The following is a 16,593-nucleotide window of genomic DNA, read 5'->3' as shown; positions in this document are numbered from 1 at the left end:
CTCCCCGATTAATGCCGCTGCCAGGCTGCCCTCACTTACTATGGCTACTCCGGCTCATGTCTCACTATGGCCTCGAAGCCGCCACTAACCGGCCGGGTTCCGGGAGGCGCCGTTCAGGATGCAGCCACCCCCGCCCGCCTGTCCCCTCCCCCACGGCCGCGGCGGCGGCGGCGGCGGCGGCTGCTGGAGCCCGGATGCGGCGCCGTGAGGCAGGCCCGGGAGAGCGGCGCGGATGGATCCAACATGGCGGCGCCGAGCCTGAGCCGAGAGTGAGGCGGAGGGGCGGCCGGAGTGGGGAGAGGGAGTCGAGCGGGACGGGGCGGGGCCGGGCGGGGCCGCAAAGGGCTTGGGGAAGGAAAGTGGAGGGGGAGGCGGTGGCGACGTCCAGCCTGAGAACCTCAAGAGAGGGAGGTGACGGGACGCTGAGAGGTGGGGGAGGGGAGCTGCCGAGGGGGGCGTGCAGGGGAGATGGCAACTGCGGGAGAGGGCAGGGGTCGAGACGGAGGAGTGAGGGCATGGGGAGGGGCGTAAACAAGGGCTGAGACTGGGCCCAGCCAGGGGTATTAGAGAGGCCGAGGTGGGGAGTGGGGCTGCGATCCGCTCGTATTGAAGGGGGTAGGAGCAGGAGGGAGAGGCTGAGGGTGTGAAGGGGAAGGGGGCTGTGGCATGTGGTTGGAGGGAGGACTGGACTCTGATGAGGGGTGTTGCGAGGAGGTGGGTAAAGGTCAGAATTGGAGTTAAGACGTTTCTGGGGGGCTTCGAAAGTGTTAAATTGGAGGTGGGAGGGGGAAGGGCCTAGGGGAGAATTTGGGTGGAAAAGGAGAGAACGGAGGCTTGGGGAATGGAGAGAGTGTCGGTGGGAGGAGGTAATGGAGAAAGTGAGAGACTGGGAGGAAGAAAGTTTGGGAGGAAGGGGAGTGGAATGGGAGATAGGACAGTGGAGCTGCACGGGTGATAGAGGTTCGGGGGTTTCCCTTTCCCCGGTGGAGAGGAGGAGAGAACAGAGTTAAGCAGCATCAGTTGCAGCCAATTCTAATTGCCAGGCCCTTAGCTTTTAAGAGGGTGGGAAGGGCAGAAGGGAATGGTCATGTGGGTTTGCAGAATTGGGGTTGGATGAGAATTCAACTGGGTTTGTTTTCCAAAAGACTCCCTAGCTTACTGTTCCCTTGTTTTTCCTGCTTGGGAAAATGGGGAAGCCGGTGTCGCCCAAGTGTGGAGGAGCAAAGGACTTTTCTAGTTTTTAGCATTAGCAATACAAGAGTGGGGGAGCAGACATGGCTATATTGGAACCCTATATGCTAAGGTGGAGGCTCTGGAAGTCTGAGGAGGGAAAGAGAAAAGATAGAGTGGCATCTAGACAGGTTAATTAAATGAGTGCTGTAGTTTCCAGACCCTTTTGCTGTTTTAAGTCTGGAAGGGAGGGGGTAACATGGATACTGTATGTAGAAAAACTTTTCCCTGGTGAAACATAGACGTATGAGTGGATGCTGCGCCATTAGATATTTTGTTCTCATTGTGTGCTAGTTAAGGGAAAGGGCCAAATGTAGAATTTGGAGGATAGTGCTGGTCTGCTGTAACCACTTTCCTCCCAGTTTTTTCTAAAGGTGAAAGTTAACGTTAATATTGTAACAAAATAGGAATAAGGAATTGTGGAGGAAGATGAGAAGCTGCCAGAGGGTAATTGGTTTTCCCAGAAGTTCTTAAATTTGGGAGCTGTCTTGCCGCAAGCCATTGAGACTGGAAATTCTTGGAGTTGGTATTGTTTTTGTAAATTGACTAATAGAGAGTTAGGGAAGCCTGGAGACTTGTTGGGGGTGAGTTCTCTAAATGGTTTTAGGCTTGTCTGTGTACTTTTGCAACGAGATTGTCTAATTCTATGGGCCTCTGAGGTTTCAAAGTAAAACTTGAAAATTAATTATTTTCCCCTCCTTATTTGTTTTTGTTTTGCTGCTGGCTGTGAAACTTGTGCTAGGAAGAGACCTGGGAAATTAAGTTTCTTGCGGAGGTAAGTCTGGAACTTTTTTATTGTTTTCAAACAATGGAAGGGAATGGAAATAGCATGGGAGTTATTTTGAGGTTGGGTCCATTAATGAGGAGGAGAATGCCAGGGAAAATGAGTTATCATTCATCCATCTGAGTGCATGAGATCTGTTGTAATCACTGTCTTTAGTTAATTGGAGATAGGAGGTGAAAGAGAAGGAGATTTAGATGTCTTGGGACAATCCCCCAGCTTTGGTTTGTTATTGTCTAGTCTTCTTGGTCAGCTCTGAAACATTTTTTTTTTTTAACATATGGAAGGCTGTATTCTAGTACATTGTCTACTAAATGTTGCCCTTGGAGGGTTGCTGGGACACCTTCCTTCCGTGGGAAACTTTTCCTCTAACTTTCTCTTTCAGCTGTTGGGGGGTTCCTGGCATCCTTCTTTTGAAAACATACTATGTAATTCTGACTTCCAGATATTTGATTACATTTCCTATCCCACCAGCAAGAATGTACTCTTAACCATCTTTAAGATTTTCTATGTAGTTTTAATTTAAGTTTCAAGATACCACTTTTTTTTGTAGTTCTTCTGCATGACTTTTCCTCTGAGGACTTCTGAGAGAGTCAGATATCTCTTAATTCTATGAAATTACAAATATCATCCCTGTTCAGAAAAGATGACTGTCATTTTCATTTCAAGACAGCACTCTTTTTTATTTCTTTCATGTCGCTTTCCCCTAAGGGCTTCTGAGAGAGCCAAGTACCTCAAAAACTACAGATATTCCTGGTTGGGATGAGACCAGACTTTGCTTGGAAGTAGAAACATAGTAGAGAAGGACCAATCAGGAGGAAATCCTGAAGATACCTATAGACTGTTGGCCCTTGGCTGACTTGGACTTCTCTAAAGAAAAAAGCAAAACTCCAGGAAATACAACAATTCCTCAGAATCAATTATTCTTGGGAAACTGTAGGGGAGAATTCATGTGTTACTATCTCAAATACAGCCAGACCAGTCAGTGGGATCAGGACTTTCTGTGTGCTGGAGTTTCGTCTCTTGGTATTTGGCAGTGTTTCAGATACCAAGACTTGAGTTAGTTCTAATTTTCTGTTCAGAGGGTTACATTCTCCTCACCATTCTGATACCTGTCATCTAGAATCTCTGTATGTTTTAAGTTGAGCTCCCTTGCTTCACTGTCACAGAAATACGAGTATATTTTGGTTTTAGAGGAAATTGGTCATGTTTTCTTTTCTAATTTTACTAATCAGCTGAACTTTCATCACTTTTTTTTTTTTTTTTTTTGAGGCAAGGTCTCACTCTGTACCCCAGGCTGGAGTGCAGTGGTGCGATCAGAGTAGCTGGGACCACAGGTATGTCCCACTATGCCCAGCTAATTTTTGTTTATTGTTTGTAGAGATGGAGTTGTGTCATGTTGCTCAGGCTGGTCTCGAACTCCTGGGCTCAAGCAGTCCTCCTGCCTTGGTCTCCCAAAGTGTTGAGATTACAAGTGTGAGCCACCATGCGAGGCCTCATCACATTCTTTTAATGTTAAAGTTAGATAGATTCTTGGAACCCTTATCTGGGTTGCATTAAGTGGAGAGGGCTGCCTCTTAACCTGCATGACAGTATCCTCATATTTCTCCCAAGCACATGGCCTTGAGGAACTTACATATTTCTATGTTTGCTTCATTGAATAAGCAATATAAGTCTGATTAGTGACCTCACAAGGAGAATTTGCTGCTCATCCAGTTCCAAGACTTTAAAGATGACCCTGAGGCTTACGAGCAGGATCCTTTGTGTCTGTCTTGCAGAGGATTACATTTCTAATATCCCCATAGAACTCCAGATTGAACTAGGTCAAAGTAGACCTCCTGGGATGGGGCAGAAGTGGATGTAGAACTACCACCTGTTCCTCAGCTGAATGGCAACAGCAGGTGACAGAGGACCCAAGGTTGGAGTGGCATGAAACACCTTAGTGCAGTTGGACTTGGGAGTTAAATGAACATGTATGTCCGACAGGCTTTTCTTTTCTTCTGGAATGTTGTTTGATGGGTTTGGATGGAGGGACCAGATGGCTTTTTCTAGATCTAGTGTGGAAAGTGACATGCATTCTTTTGACCCTTTACCATGCTCCACCTAGAATAGGGTTTCTCATCCTTGGCATTATTGACATTTTGTGCTGCATGATTCTTTGTTGTGGCAGACTGTTCTGTGCATTACAGGATGTTTCTTTTTTCTTTTGAGACAGGGTTTCACTCTGTCACCTGGGCTGGACTGCAGTGGCGCTATCACATCCCACTGCAGCTTCGACCTCCCAGGCTCAAGCGATTCTTCTACCTTAGCCTCCCAAGTAGCTGGGATCACAGGTGCATGCCACCACGCCAGGCTAATTTTTATATTTTGCATAGAGATGGGGTTTCACCATGTTGTCCAAGCTGATCTCAAACTCCTGGGCTCAAGTGTTCCTCCCACCTTGGCCTCTCAAAGTGCAGGGATTACAGACGGGAGCCACTGCACCTGTCCTATAGGATGTTTCTAAATATCCCTGGCTTCTACTCATTACATGCTGATGGCAGTCCCCTTCCCCACCAGGCATAATAATCAGAAATGTCTCCAGACATTGCCACATATTCCCCAGGGGTCAAATTTGCCCCTGGTTCAGAACCACTGACCTAAAAGCTATTATAATTCCTAGTACATTGATGATCTAGCCTGGGATCTAGGACTTAAAGGTGGCTAGTGTGTTTGTTTCCTCTCAAATGTAGGGAGTTAACTTCAAAGGATTGAAGCTTATAGAATTACATCCATTGATACATAATTAGGACCACAGTGCTTTCCTGTATTTTGCCTTATTTTCCATTGCGAGGGTATGTGGGGACAGTGTTTCTTCATTTCCTGGGGTTTAAGCACACTTTAAATTAGGGAACTGTGGAGCAACCAGCTCTTCTGGTTGGTTTAATGTGAAACCTACCCAATCTGCTTTATCTGAGAGCCTCACAATCAACAGCTGGCCCAAGGGAACAGGTGGGATAGGGAACAAAGAGAAGTTGCAGGGGCTCTGAGGAGGCTCAGTTTTCTCATGTTGCCTGCTATGAGCAATAACTTATTTTCCTTTAGCACCTTCATTTGTACCCAGTAACAGCAACAGGTGAATCGAGAGGAAGAGGCAAGGAATACCAGTCTATAGTTGAATAGCTATTTCCCATGCTTTGGGTGGGGCATCTGGGCTCTCAAAACTATATATGGATTACATTTCCTGTCTACATATCAGAACCCATGGTATAGGGTTAAGTGATCCCAGAGTGTACCTCCCCTTTTCTTAAGGGAATGAGTTTCTCTGTGCTTTCATTTTAGTTTTTCATCTGAGGAAGAAAGGACCAGTTCCTACTTACTCTTCAGCTTTCTCTATCAGCTTTGTTTTTCCAAAGAAGCTTATTATTTTATTGTTTCCTAGTCTAGCCTCAGTTCCTTTTTGTATAAAATGGACAGAGCAACCTGTTTAATTGTTGAGTAGGGTAGAGTGGTGTGGTATGGTGTGGGTAGTTCTGGACATTGCAGAGGAGGCTATGGCTAGTTAGAATATATGCATGGTAACTGAATTACCTGTATCTGTTTTTAATGGGGTCCTCTCTTGGACTTTTGTGAATTTGTTTCTTAATTGGAATTGCTTGAGGTGATCTCTTGGAGATTAAGTTCAGTTCAACAGTGGGTTGCTCCCACTATATTTGAGGCTCTGTCCATTACTAGGCACTAGGGATATAAAGATGAATATATCTCTCCATGAGTTGAGTAGGATCTAATGGGATAATAAATACACAAATAATTTTAGTACATGGTGATAAATGGTGTAAAGGAGATATGCATAGTGTTCCATAAGCGCACAGAAGAGGACTACTTATCTCTGCATGGGGGTGTAGAAAATGCATTTTGAAGATGGCATCTGAGCTGACTCTTAAAGAATGAGTAGGAGTTAGCCATCTGAAAAAGAGTGATGATGGGGGTGTGGAATAGAGAAGGGAGAGGGGCATTCAGGCAAAGAGAAGAGCCTGAAGAAGGTATAGAGAAATTGCATGATGTATGTGAACTATAAACAAACTGATAATGTTAGAGAATAAAAAGCGGATGTGATGGGAAATGAGGTTGGGAAGGTAGGCCTGATCTTAGAAGGCTTGATGTGTGTGTAAAGAATTTGGAGTGTTCGGCCAGGCGTGGTGGCTCACACCTGTAATCTCAGCACTTTCGGAGGCCGAGGCAGGCGGATCACAAGGTCAGGAGTTCGAGACCAGTCTGGCCAATATGGTGAAACCCCGTCTCTACTAAAAATACAAAAAGTAGCTGGGCGTGGTGGTGGGTGCCTGTAGTCCCAGCTACTCGGGAAGCTGAGGCAGGAGAATCGCTTGAACCTGGGAGGCGGAGGTTGCAGTGAGCCAAGATCGCGCCACTGCACTGCAGCCTGGGCGACAGAGTGACTCTGTCTCAAAAAAAAAAAAAAAAAAAAGAGTTTGGAGTGTTCTTATAGATAACGATGGGGCAATCAATGGGTCTGAAGCAGGAAAGTGACTTGGTCAGTTGTGGACTTCAGACAGCTAACTGAACTAGATGTGGCAGTGGATGGATTTAGGTAGGTTAAGATTGGTGTTGCAGAGAACTTTTAAAGTTACAGTAGTCCAGGTGAGAGATTATTGTAATCTGAACCATGGCAGTGGAGGTGGAAAGGTAGGATAGATTTAAGAAATATCTAGAAGTAGCATTAACAGGAATTTAGGATTGATTGTGTGATTGGAGAGTGTGACCAGAGAGTGCACAGTATAGGATGGTACTGTCTGGTGGAGCAGTAAGTATGAGTGACTTGAGTCAAAGTTGTTGAATTTGGGAATTGATTAATGGCTGCGTCATTGGTATTACCTGTAGCCCATAACGATGGAGGAACTTTGTGAATCAAGAGCCAAACTATATAACGAATGTGGAGCTGTGATTGGTCATTGATAGGGGATTGGTAAATGACATCCATGAGGAAAGCTTAGAAGGTGGTATTGCCAAGGCCAGGTACGGTGGCTCACGCCTGTAATCCCAGCACTTTGGGAGGCCGAGGTGGGTGGATCACCTGAGGTCAGGAGTTCAAGACCAGCCTGACCATCATGGTAAAAACCCATCTCTACTAAAAATACAAAAATTAGCAAGACGTGGTGGTGCGTGCCTGTAATCCCAGCTACTTGGGAGGCTGAGGCACGAGAATTGCTTGAACCTGGGAGGCGGAGGTTGCAGTGAGCCGAGATTGCACCACTGCACTCCAGCCTGGGTGACAAAGTGAGACTCCATCTCAAAAAAAAAAAGTTGATATTGCCAAATAGGGTGAAGATCAAGGGAGTACAAATGGCATAGAATTACAAGAATGCTTATTGTAGAAACTTAATGTTTATTTTAAATCCATGAGTTTTGGTAAATATTGATAAACTTTCTGAGCAGTTATCATTTCTTGATGTGGTTGGATTGTAGGAAAAATGTGGAGGGATGATTCTGGGCTGCAAAGGCCAAGGATGCTTGTATCTTTGAAATGTTTCACAACCATTTATATAAGGGTTACCCGTGATTTTCTCATTGGATTCTTAACAACTCTGAGGTGTATATTCATTCATCCCTGTTTATAGATGACAGCACTGAGAATCTGGAGTTAAGTGACTTGCTTACGGTCACACAGCTACACAGCCTTTCAGTGATACAGTCAGAATTTAAACTAGTTCTTTTTTTTCCGAGATGGGGGACTCACTCTGTCACCCAGGCTACAGTGCAGGATTATGGCTCACTGCAGCCTTGAACTCCTGGGCTCAAGTGATCCTCCTGCCTCAGCCTCCTGAGTAGCAGGGACTACAGGCACATGCCACCATGCCTTGCTAATTTTTTTCTTTTTTGTAGAGATGGGGTCTTGCTATGTTGACCAGGCTGATCTTGAACTCCTGGCCTCAAGCCTTCCTCCCACCTCAGCCTCCTGTGCAGCTGGGACTACAGGCGTGTACCACCAAGCCCAGCTAATTTTTTCTTTTTTTGTAGAAACGGGTCTCCCTATGTTGCCCAGGCTGGTCTTAAACGCCTGGGCTCAAGTGATCCTCCTGCCTTGGCCTCCCAAAATGCTGGGATTACAGGTGTGAGCCCCTGTGCCTGGCCAGTGTTTATTTTTAAACAAACACTTCAAAAATTTAATAAACATGTATAAAGCACTATACTGTGCCAGGCATTGTTAGCAACTGGGAATATGGGAATGCATGAGACTAGTTCCTGCCCTTGAGTGTCTCATCGGTTCTTTCCCTGCCCTTTCAGTACGGTGGGGATTGCAGCTGCTGAGCAGGGATTCTGGAAAGCATTGCGTACCTGAGCCCCCAGCATGGCGGGCCTAAAGCGGCGGGCAAGCCAGGTGTGGCCAGAAGAGCATGGTGAGCAGGAACATGGGCTGTACAGCCTGCACCGCATGTTTGACATCGTGGGCACTCATCTGACACACAGAGATGTGCGCGTGCTTTCTTTCCTCTTTGTTGATGTCATTGATGACCACGAGCGTGGACTCATCCGAAATGGACGTGACTTCTTATTGGCACTGGAGCGCCAGGGCCGCTGTGATGAAAGTAACTTTCGCCAGGTGCTGCAGCTGCTGCGCATCATCACTCGCCACGACCTGCTGCCCTACGTCACCCTCAAGAGGAGACGGGCTGGTGAGGAAGTATTAGGGGCTGGAATCAGGGAAGAGTTGTGGGAGGCCAGGAAGGAGCAGCATAGGCGTCCAAAGGGGAGGACACATTGATCCTGGGGAGTACTTAGAGTAAGTTGTGAGGCCCACTGGGGGTTTGGACTGACAGAAGGGAAGGGTGTATATTTTCCTGAATGATTACTTCTCCTCCTACAGTGTGCCCTGATCTTGTAGACAAGTATCTGGAGGAGACATCAATTCGCTATGTGACCCCCAGAGCCCTCAGTGATCCAGAACCAAGGCCTCCCCAGCCCTCTAAAACAGGTGAGAAGACATTAACTCCCCCTGCTTTCCATCATCAAGTAAAAGGACACTGATCCCATCACATTCTGGGCTTTGCCAGCTTAAATGAAAGGATGCTGTGCGCCCACATCTTGCCCCATAAAAAAAAAAAATCAGGCGAGGTGACATTTCTCCTAGGTCCTGTATTTGCTCTCACATGTCTTGTCTTTTTTTTTTTTTTTTTTGAGACAGAGTCTCCCTCTGTCGCCCAGGCTGGAGTGCAGTGGCGCAATCTCGGTTCACTGCAAGCCCCACTTCCCAGGTGCACGCCATTCTCCTGCCTCAGCCTCCTGAGTAGCTGGGACTACAGGCGCCCGCCAGCACGCCCAGCTAATTTTTTGTATTTTTAGAGACGGGGTTTCACCGTGTTAGCCAGGATGGTCTCGATCTCCTGACCTCATGATCCACCCGCCTTGGCCTCCCAAAGTGCTGGGATTACAGGCGTGAGCCACTGCACCTGGTCTCACATGTCTTTTCAAGTCACATTTTTCCACTGCTTTTAGTGCTAAGTCTAAATGATTCCTTCCTCATTCCAACAGAAGTGTTTGAATTTCTGCCTTTACCCTACTGTGTTTTCTTCCCTTTTACTTTCTGGTCAGTGCCTCCCCACTATCCTGTGGTGTGTTGCCCCACTTCGGGTCCTCAGATGTGTAGCAAGCGGCCAGCCCGAGGGAGAGCCACACTTGGGAGCCAGCGAAAACGCCGGAAGTCAGTGACACCAGATCCCAAGGAGAAGCAGACATGTGGTGAGGAAGTTCAAGGGTTCCAGAGATGGAGCAGACTTGAAGGAGAATATAAAGAACTGCTGGGACACTGGGCAGTTTATGCTATTCAGTGTGAGATTCACTTTGATTGCCATTGCAAAGTGAGGCTGAATGGTTTGGTGTCTGGTGGAAGAACTGCTCTTTATGATTGTGGCAGGGTACATTTCAACTCTTGTTAGTTAATACTACATCACAGGGATGTTGTTATGACATCCTTATTGTAGGATGAGCCAAGTCGAGTATTAAAATGAACTTCTATGCCTGGTAATTAGGAAAATATCTCCTATAAACAAGTTGCTACCTGTGAGTAATGGGAACAGTGCTGACCTCGGCATGTCCCGTTTAAGGGAACCTCCTGCATTCAGGCAAGGATTTCAGAGATACATAGAAATAGTCCTGGGGAAGAGGTAGAGAAGCTGTCAGGTGATATTCCCTACTTTTTTATTCTGTTGTGCTTTTCAGTTTTCAAGCTTGGCTTGTAAACTCATCCCTTACTGTAACCTCTTCTGCTCTGTATCTTCTGTTTCCAACAGACATCAGACTGCGGGTTCGGGCTGAATACTGCCAGCATGAGACTGCTCTGCAGGGCAATGTCTTCTCTAACAAGCAGGACCCACTTGAGCGCCAGTTTGAGCGCTTTAACCAGGCCAACACCATCCTCAAGTCCCGGGACCTGGGCTCCATCATCTGTGACATCAAGTTCTCTGAGCTCACCTACCTCGATGCATTCTGGCGTGACTACATCAATGGCTCTTTATTAGAGGCACTTAAAGGTGTCTTCATCACAGACTCCCTCAAGCAAGCTGTGGGCCATGAAGCCATCAAGCTGCTGGTAAATGTAGACGAGGAGGACTATGAGCTGGGCCGACAGAAACTCCTGAGGAACTTGATGCTGCAAGCATTGCCCTGACCTATTCCCTCTTCTCACTTTGGGGACTGTTCCCATCACCCACCTCTGGAGCTTACACTGTTCTGGGGTTTGTTCTCTACCCTTCCAACCAATCACACCCCTGCCTTTTTTTTTTTTTTTTTAAAGAAAAAGACAAAAGAAAGTGGAAGTGGTATTCCCCACCCCTCCCTGCACCCATGTGCCTGGGCTTCCCCTTTATTTCCCTTTTCCATTTACCCCGTAATGTGTCTCTACAGCTACCTTACCACTGAGCCGTAAGACAAATGTATAGGAAGAAGCAAAGTCTACAGCACATAGTCTTTGTAAGGGATTGATGTGAACACTTTTTTTTGGATGCACTAAGGAGTTATCAATACTTCTGGCTTTATGAGAGCTCTTAAATTTTGTCTAAAAAACCAAAGGGCTGTGAGTAAGGGAGCTATGTGGAAAGTGGGACTCTGAAGTGTATTTTGAAAATTAATCGCCACCCTCTTCCAAATTATAGAATTTTTTAAAAACAAGCTGTGGCCCTTTCCACTCTCTCCTGGCCTCTGGTGCTGCTCCTCTCTGCCGCCTTTCCTCCATTCCATGGCTTGAAACCTCTGCCTGATGTGGCTCCTTCCTTTTTCCCATTTGTCAAACCCTCTTCAAAGGAGGAACAGATAAGACTGGGTCAGCCTAGTCATGCCTCCCAACTGTGGTGGTATATGTGTACACACATACACAGGGTGGATGGAGAAGAGGTTGCTGATTAAAATACACTCCCCCTATAAAGGGGAAGGGGGAGTGTGACACTTTCTTTCCATGTTCAAGTGAAAATAAATAATGTACCCTGCAGCCCTTTTCCCCTTTGCTTTCTTCTGGCTTGGGCAAAGGGCATCATAGGTGTAAGTGAAGTAATTCCTTTTTCCTTCCCCCTCCTCCACTCCTACGCCCACTCCCATGCTTGGGAGAATGGGGCTGGGACATGCACTGAGTGTTGCACTTTTATTTAGGTAGGGAGGCATGTTGAATGAGCCAGGAGGTCTAGAACTGGAGCTTAGTCCAGCTGGTACAATACCAACTCCCCTTCTAGTTCCCAAAGGCGATGTCCAGACACAGACTTTATGATTATTATATTTTTCAATGCCAGTGCTGCTCAGCCCTCAGCAGAACTTCAGTTTCCATGAAATAAACAATGACTATATAAAATTCCACCTTTCTGAAACTGCAGTCTGACCTCAGGTGAAGCTCAGGTGAAAGTTTCTTTCCCAAGCAGCCCATCTGTGTTCCATCAAGAGAGTCAAGGTTCTCCAAGTGAGGGGAGCTGTGCCTGGATCCTGCCTCCAAGTCACATGAGCACTAGCTCATAGTGGCAGGGTGGGGGTGGGAGGGGCAGGTCTAAACTCACAGAAGTCAAGTCTTAAGACAGTGGGTGACCCAGATTGCCATAGAGGTCAGGCCTGCGGTGCTGGAACACAGGCAGGTGTCGGCGCAACTGTCGCAGATAGTTGAGGTCTATTCGGGCAAGGCAGAGGCCTGGCCCCTCAGAGCAGCGGGCCACCACTGTTCCCCAGGGGTCTACCACCATGCTGTGGCCATAACTTGCTCTCTTCTCATGGTGGCGTCCACACTGTGCTGCTGCCACTACATAGCACTGGGTTTCGATAGCACGGGCCCGCAGCAACACCTGGGCATGAGATGTGTGTTCACTTAAGTACATGTAGCAAATAGTGGGGAAGTGACAGGTGAGGGACATTACAGACCAATCTACCCATTGTGACTATTTTGGTAATTGCCTAGGAATGATTTACTATTTTAACTATTCATGAGAGAAATATCTGGGGAATGAGTTTTCCCATTAGGTGGAAAGGGGAAGGAATTTAACTGGTAGGGCCAAGGGGGGAAGATGAGGTTAAGAAAAGGCCCTTATGTTTTAAAAAGGCATCATCTTACCTCCCAGTGGGCTGGGCCTGTAATGGATCCAAAAGCTGAAGGATAGGTAAGTATCTCTGCTCCAGCTTGAGCCAATGCCAGAGAGAGTTCAGGGAACCGCATGTCATAGCAGACAGCTAGACCAATCTGGAATGAAAAACAGCCTACTTAGTAGTCTTCCTGCTCTGTTTGTCACAGCATCTAGTCATATTTCCATTACCCCCTCTCTTAGGGCTTTCTATCCTCTACTGCCAGTTCAAAGTATTCCTGTTCCCCTCCCTCATCCTTTCACAACTCCTACCTTGCCTGCTGGTGTGCTGACAGGTGACTCAAGACTGGGCCCAGGCATGGTAGAGTTGCTTTCACACATAGGCCCCTGCCCTGGAATCTCTACGTCACACAGATGTGTCTTCCTGTAAGTGGCCACTACTGCCCCTACAGTAAGAAAGAAGGAATATCAGTGCTGGTGTTCTAGAAGCCTTGCTTACTCCTCCCAAGGAGGAGATAGTTTATAGGCTAGGAACTGAAGTAGGACCACCCCTAAATCCTTGGGTCAAGGAAATAAGAGTTGAGAAACAATTCTGGAGAATCTAGGTAGAAGAGCATGGGAAGAGGCAGGCTAAAGGGTTATAAAGTCTCACCTTTGCTGTTCAGCAGCACGTGACAATTGTAGATTTTCTGAGTCTGCTCCCAGTCTTGGCCACGCTCATGGAAACCACCCAAGGACAGCCAGAGTCCACATTCCCTGGGGGGAAGGGACACTGACAACTCTTCACTGACTTCTCAAGGCTCTACCCTCATATCTGGCAACCCAGGGACACTGTCCAACAAAGATTCTACCTCTCCCTCGCTATTTCCCTGATACCTGGCAAGCTGGGTGTATTCTTCCAAAAGTTTCCCACCCAGTGGTTCAGACAGGTGTAGCGTCTCTGCAGGGTCCCGTGCAATGAAGTCAAATGCCTCAGGCAGGAAAGCCAGGCAGGCACCCAGTCTGGCAGCCTCTCGAACCAGCTCAGCACATGTTTTAAAGTTCTGTTGCTTGTCTGGCGTCGATGTTACCTGGCACACAGCCACCAGGGGCAGTTCGCAGGAGGAAGAGGAGATAGCCATGGCTCTGGGCCTGTGAACAGCATAGGCAGGATTCTCAGATTTCATAGCACAGGGAAGCAAATTTAATGCTAAGGGGTGCAAGTGGAGAGGCAGGAAAGCTGGACTTCCTTTTGATCATGCTCTTACAGGGCACGTTGACCCAGGGCTAGTAGGGCTCACCAATCAAATGTGTGGATAGTTGACACTCCTGTGTCTCCCACTATCCATTTAACAAACTGAGCATCTAAGTGCCAGGCACTGAGGACACAACAAAACGTGTTACCTGGGCTGAGCACAAAGTACTGAGAGTTGAGGTATCCGGAGTCCAGGACACAGAAGGGACAGGAATCTGTGAGGAGGCCTGGTGATGAAGCCCAGCCTGAGGAAGGTGAGATATGAGGACACCAACCCCTTCTTCAAGCAATAAATTTCTAGGATTCTCTGACTTCTCTCTTTATACTGTGAGCCTGAATCAGGGCCCTGCCAGTAAAAACCTAGTCTTCAAAACGCTCTTTATAAGAAATTATAGGCTAAGGGACAAGACCATACAGTGGGAAGATGGAGAAAGGGGCTCTGCTCGCCGCCTGAATAGTTCAACTTCCAATGATCTCACATTAAACTGAAGCCTCTTTCCTCTGACAAACGTTTCCGCAGTCCAAAAGTCATCTCCGGGAACTATCCTTGGTTTTCCCAAGACTCTCTCCTTGACTGTGCACTTGCGCAGCTTTACTGACTCGAAGCATATTTCCCCTTTCACCAGAATCTCGCAGGGGAAAGTTCACCCTCTCTCGTCTCCCACCCCTCCCTGGTGGGCAAGGGGCAAAGGAACCCAGGCCCCAAGCCGCGCCCCGCCCTCCACCCTCCCGCCGCCCGCTCCAGTTGGCCCGTCCCTCCCCGCCTCTCCCAGAGGCAGCATCTCTGTTACACAAGTTAAAGCACCGCAGGTGGGATTCACCGCGGCCGACGGGATAGGGAGTAGGTCCTACATGAAGATATAGCCAAAACCATTCGCAGGGTCCGATCCGGAGGGCGGTCTGGAGCCAGAAGCGCCGCAGCGAGTGGGCGGTAACTCGCAGGCCGGACGTGACGCAAGGCGGGGGCTGAGCTGCGCCGGCCGGAAACCCAGCAGGCGGCGAAGATGGCGGAGAACAGCGGTCGCGCCGGCAAGAGCAGCGGGAGCGGCGCGGGGAAGGGGGCGGTGTCCGCAGAGCAGGTGAGGAGTGGCTAACGCGAAGCAGGGTACCCACCTGGGTCTGGAATACTAGCGAGAAGGGGGAGCCTGTGGCTTGTGCAGGCCTTTACTCCAGCACCACATGTGCGTGGCACCTAGAGAGGGAAGGGTCCCCGGAAAAGCTAGCCGAACCCCTTCGGAGAGGTAGACGGGTGGGTAGGTGAGAGCCACGCCTCCGTGAGGTGGTGGGTGAGCCTGAGCAAGGGGAAAGCCCTGACATGTAGGGTCTGGGAAGATGCACAGGTCTGAGGGGAGATGGTTTGCTGCTTTCTCTATCTCTCCTCAGCCTCTCCAAACAGGTTATGGCTGGGCAAGACAGCTCGAAACTAACCCTAGAGAATTAGTTAACGGGCTGGCTGTGTAGTCTGTTACGTGATCCTGAACCCACGTTGACAATCGCCGTCACGCTGCAGAGCCACGTGACTCTCATACTCGAACAGCCTAGTGTTCTATATACTATTTTAATTCGGGAGTTCATTACTAGATCGAATTTCTTTAGAGACCAGAAACCCCTTTCTAATCCGAGTTTGCATTTTCCCCAGTGCCTAGCATCGGGAAGCGTTTGATAAGTTAATTAGAAAACCCTTTGTGGCTTGGGAACCGTGTTTTGCTAAGTGGAAAAATAGGAGTGGGAGGAAAGCTACACAATAGAAATGAAAACAGTTAACAGCTACTTTATTATTATCGTTTTTTTTTGAGACGGAGTCTCGCTCTGTCGCCCAGGCTGGAGTGCATGCAGTGGCGCGATCTCGCCTTACTGCAATCCGCCTCGTGGTTCATTCAAGCTATTCTTCTGCCTCAGCCTCCCGAGTAGCTGGGACTACAGGCGCGCGCCGCCACACCTGGCTAATTTTTGTATTTTTAGTAGAGACGGGGTTTCACCATATTGGCCAGGCTGGTCTCCAACTCCTGACCTAATGATCCGCACGCCTCGGCCTCCCAAAGTACTGGGATTACAGGCGTGAGCCACCGCTCCCGGCCTACAGCTGTCTTAATTATAGGTTCAGTTTTTGTTGAACAATTAATACAAGCAGATGTATCAGCATAAAGATTTTTATTTTTATTGTTTTTTGAGACAGAGTTTCGCTCTGTCATCCAGGCTGGAGTACAGTTGCGGGATGTCGGCTCACCACAGCCTCCACCTCCCGGGTTCAAGCATTTCTGCCTTAGCCTCCCGAGTAGCTGGGATTACATGCCCGCACCACCACGCCCAGTTAATTTTTGTAGAGGCAGGATTTCACCATGTTGCCCATGCTGGTCTCGAAGAGCATAGTCTAGTGGGGTAAATAAGAGAAGCAAAATGCTCATATGAGGCAGAAGATAAGTGTCCTAAGAGAAGTATAAAGTGCTATGGAATATGGTTTCTGACTTGGGGTGGGGGAAGGGAAAAGGAACCTAATGCTTTTTAATACTTTTTTGTTGTTGAGACGGAGTCTCTGTTGCCGAGGCTGGAGTGCAGTGGCGTGATCTCGGCTGACTGCAACCTCTGCCTCCCAGGTTCAAGAGATTCTGGTGCCTCAGCCTCCCGAGTAGCTGGGATTACAGGTGCACCACCATACCTGGCTAATTGTTGTCTTTTTGGTAGAGACGGGGTTTCACCATGTTGGCCAAGCTGGTCTCGAACTCCTGACCTCAAGTGATCCGCCTGCCTTGGCCTCCCAGAGTGGTGGGATTACAGGCATGAGCCACAGTACTTTTTTTTTTAGA

General features: G+C 48.0%; 3 protein-coding genes across 17 annotated transcripts in view, besides 6 other annotated features; 2 read left to right on the top strand and 1 right to left on the bottom strand.

The window, feature by feature from the left end:
• Window positions 19–368: a silencer, noted in NCBI's record as "silent region_1469". NCBI's record gives its function as "represses an Ori minimal core promoter by ATAC-STARR-seq in GM12878 lymphoblastoid cells {active_cell/tissue: GM12878}" and the evidence as "EXISTENCE:reporter gene assay evidence [ECO:0000049][PMID:35858748]".
• On the top strand, window positions 153–11,846 carry DEDD (death effector domain containing). Of its 6 annotated transcripts, none has more exons than NM_032998.3 (6): window positions 153–269; window positions 1,973–2,005; window positions 8,294–8,682; window positions 8,874–8,981; window positions 9,599–9,745; window positions 10,297–11,846. In NM_032998.3, the coding sequence occupies exons 3-6, from the start codon at window positions 8,358–8,360 to the stop codon at window positions 10,671–10,673; spliced, it is 957 nt and encodes a 318-aa protein (NP_127491.1). In that variant the 5' UTR covers window positions 153–269; window positions 1,973–2,005; window positions 8,294–8,357; the 3' UTR covers window positions 10,674–11,846. The 6 variants fall into 6 exon arrangements, with proteins under 6 accessions (NP_127491.1, NP_001317694.1, NP_001034800.1 ...); NM_001330765.2 differs by having other exon boundaries at window positions 9,599–9,835; NM_001039712.2 differs by lacking the exon at window positions 153–269 and adding an exon at window positions 374–429.
• Window positions 419–638: a silencer, noted in NCBI's record as "silent region_1468". NCBI's record gives its function as "represses an Ori minimal core promoter by ATAC-STARR-seq in GM12878 lymphoblastoid cells {active_cell/tissue: GM12878}" and the evidence as "EXISTENCE:reporter gene assay evidence [ECO:0000049][PMID:35858748]".
• Window positions 419–1,283: a biological region, named in NCBI's record as "H3K27ac hESC enhancer GRCh37_chr1:161101327-161102150".
• Window positions 460–1,283: an enhancer, noted in NCBI's record as "H3K27ac hESC enhancer chr1:161101327-161102150 (GRCh37/hg19 assembly coordinates)". NCBI's record gives its function as "activates a minimal SCP1, AML or CMV promoter by ChIP-STARR-seq in primed H9 embryonic stem cells {active_cell/tissue: H9 hESC(primed)}" and the evidence as "EXISTENCE:reporter gene assay evidence [ECO:0000049][PMID:30033119]".
• NIT1 (nitrilase 1) lies at window positions 7,375–14,715 on the bottom strand. 9 transcript variants are annotated; one of them, XM_024447363.2, is made up of 7 exons: window positions 14,269–14,715; window positions 13,939–14,034; window positions 13,432–13,686; window positions 13,208–13,311; window positions 12,868–13,001; window positions 12,588–12,713; window positions 7,375–8,679 (listed from the first exon to the last, which is right to left on the bottom strand). In XM_024447363.2, exons 1-7 carry the CDS (start codon window positions 14,319–14,321, stop codon window positions 8,665–8,667), a joined length of 783 nt encoding a protein of 260 aa, XP_024303131.1. In that variant the 5' UTR covers window positions 14,322–14,715; the 3' UTR covers window positions 7,375–8,664. The 9 variants fall into 9 exon arrangements, with proteins under 9 accessions (XP_024303131.1, XP_047277373.1, NP_001172021.1 ...); XM_047421417.1 differs by having other exon boundaries at window positions 14,611–14,715; NM_001185092.2 differs by having other exon boundaries at window positions 14,642–14,715.
• Window positions 8,490–8,990: an enhancer, noted in NCBI's record as "H3K4me1 hESC enhancer chr1:161093620-161094120 (GRCh37/hg19 assembly coordinates)". NCBI's record gives its function as "activates a minimal SCP1, AML or CMV promoter by ChIP-STARR-seq in primed H9 embryonic stem cells {active_cell/tissue: H9 hESC(primed)}" and the evidence as "EXISTENCE:reporter gene assay evidence [ECO:0000049][PMID:30033119]".
• Window positions 14,347–15,327: an enhancer, noted in NCBI's record as "H3K27ac-H3K4me1 hESC enhancer chr1:161087283-161088263 (GRCh37/hg19 assembly coordinates)". NCBI's record gives its function as "activates a minimal SCP1, AML or CMV promoter by ChIP-STARR-seq in primed H9 embryonic stem cells {active_cell/tissue: H9 hESC(primed)}" and the evidence as "EXISTENCE:reporter gene assay evidence [ECO:0000049][PMID:30033119]".
• PFDN2 (prefoldin subunit 2) overlaps window positions 14,783–16,593 on the top strand; it is a 17,477-nt gene continuing 15,666 nt past the window's right edge. For both annotated transcript variants that reach the window (NM_012394.4, XM_011509624.4), the window contains exon 1: window positions 14,783–14,868. In NM_012394.4, the coding sequence (NP_036526.2) occupies window positions 14,794–14,868 (75 nt within the window). In that variant the 5' untranslated portion in view covers window positions 14,783–14,793. The remainder of the gene's footprint in view (window positions 14,869–16,593) is intronic.

The sequence above is a fragment of the Homo sapiens genome, chromosome 1 (genome assembly GCF_000001405.40).
Source record: "Homo sapiens chromosome 1, GRCh38.p14 Primary Assembly".
Lineage (NCBI taxonomy): Eukaryota > Metazoa > Chordata > Mammalia > Primates > Hominidae > Homo > Homo sapiens.
Note: the sequence above shows the minus strand (reverse complement) of the source record. Positions and strands in the feature narration are given on the sequence as shown.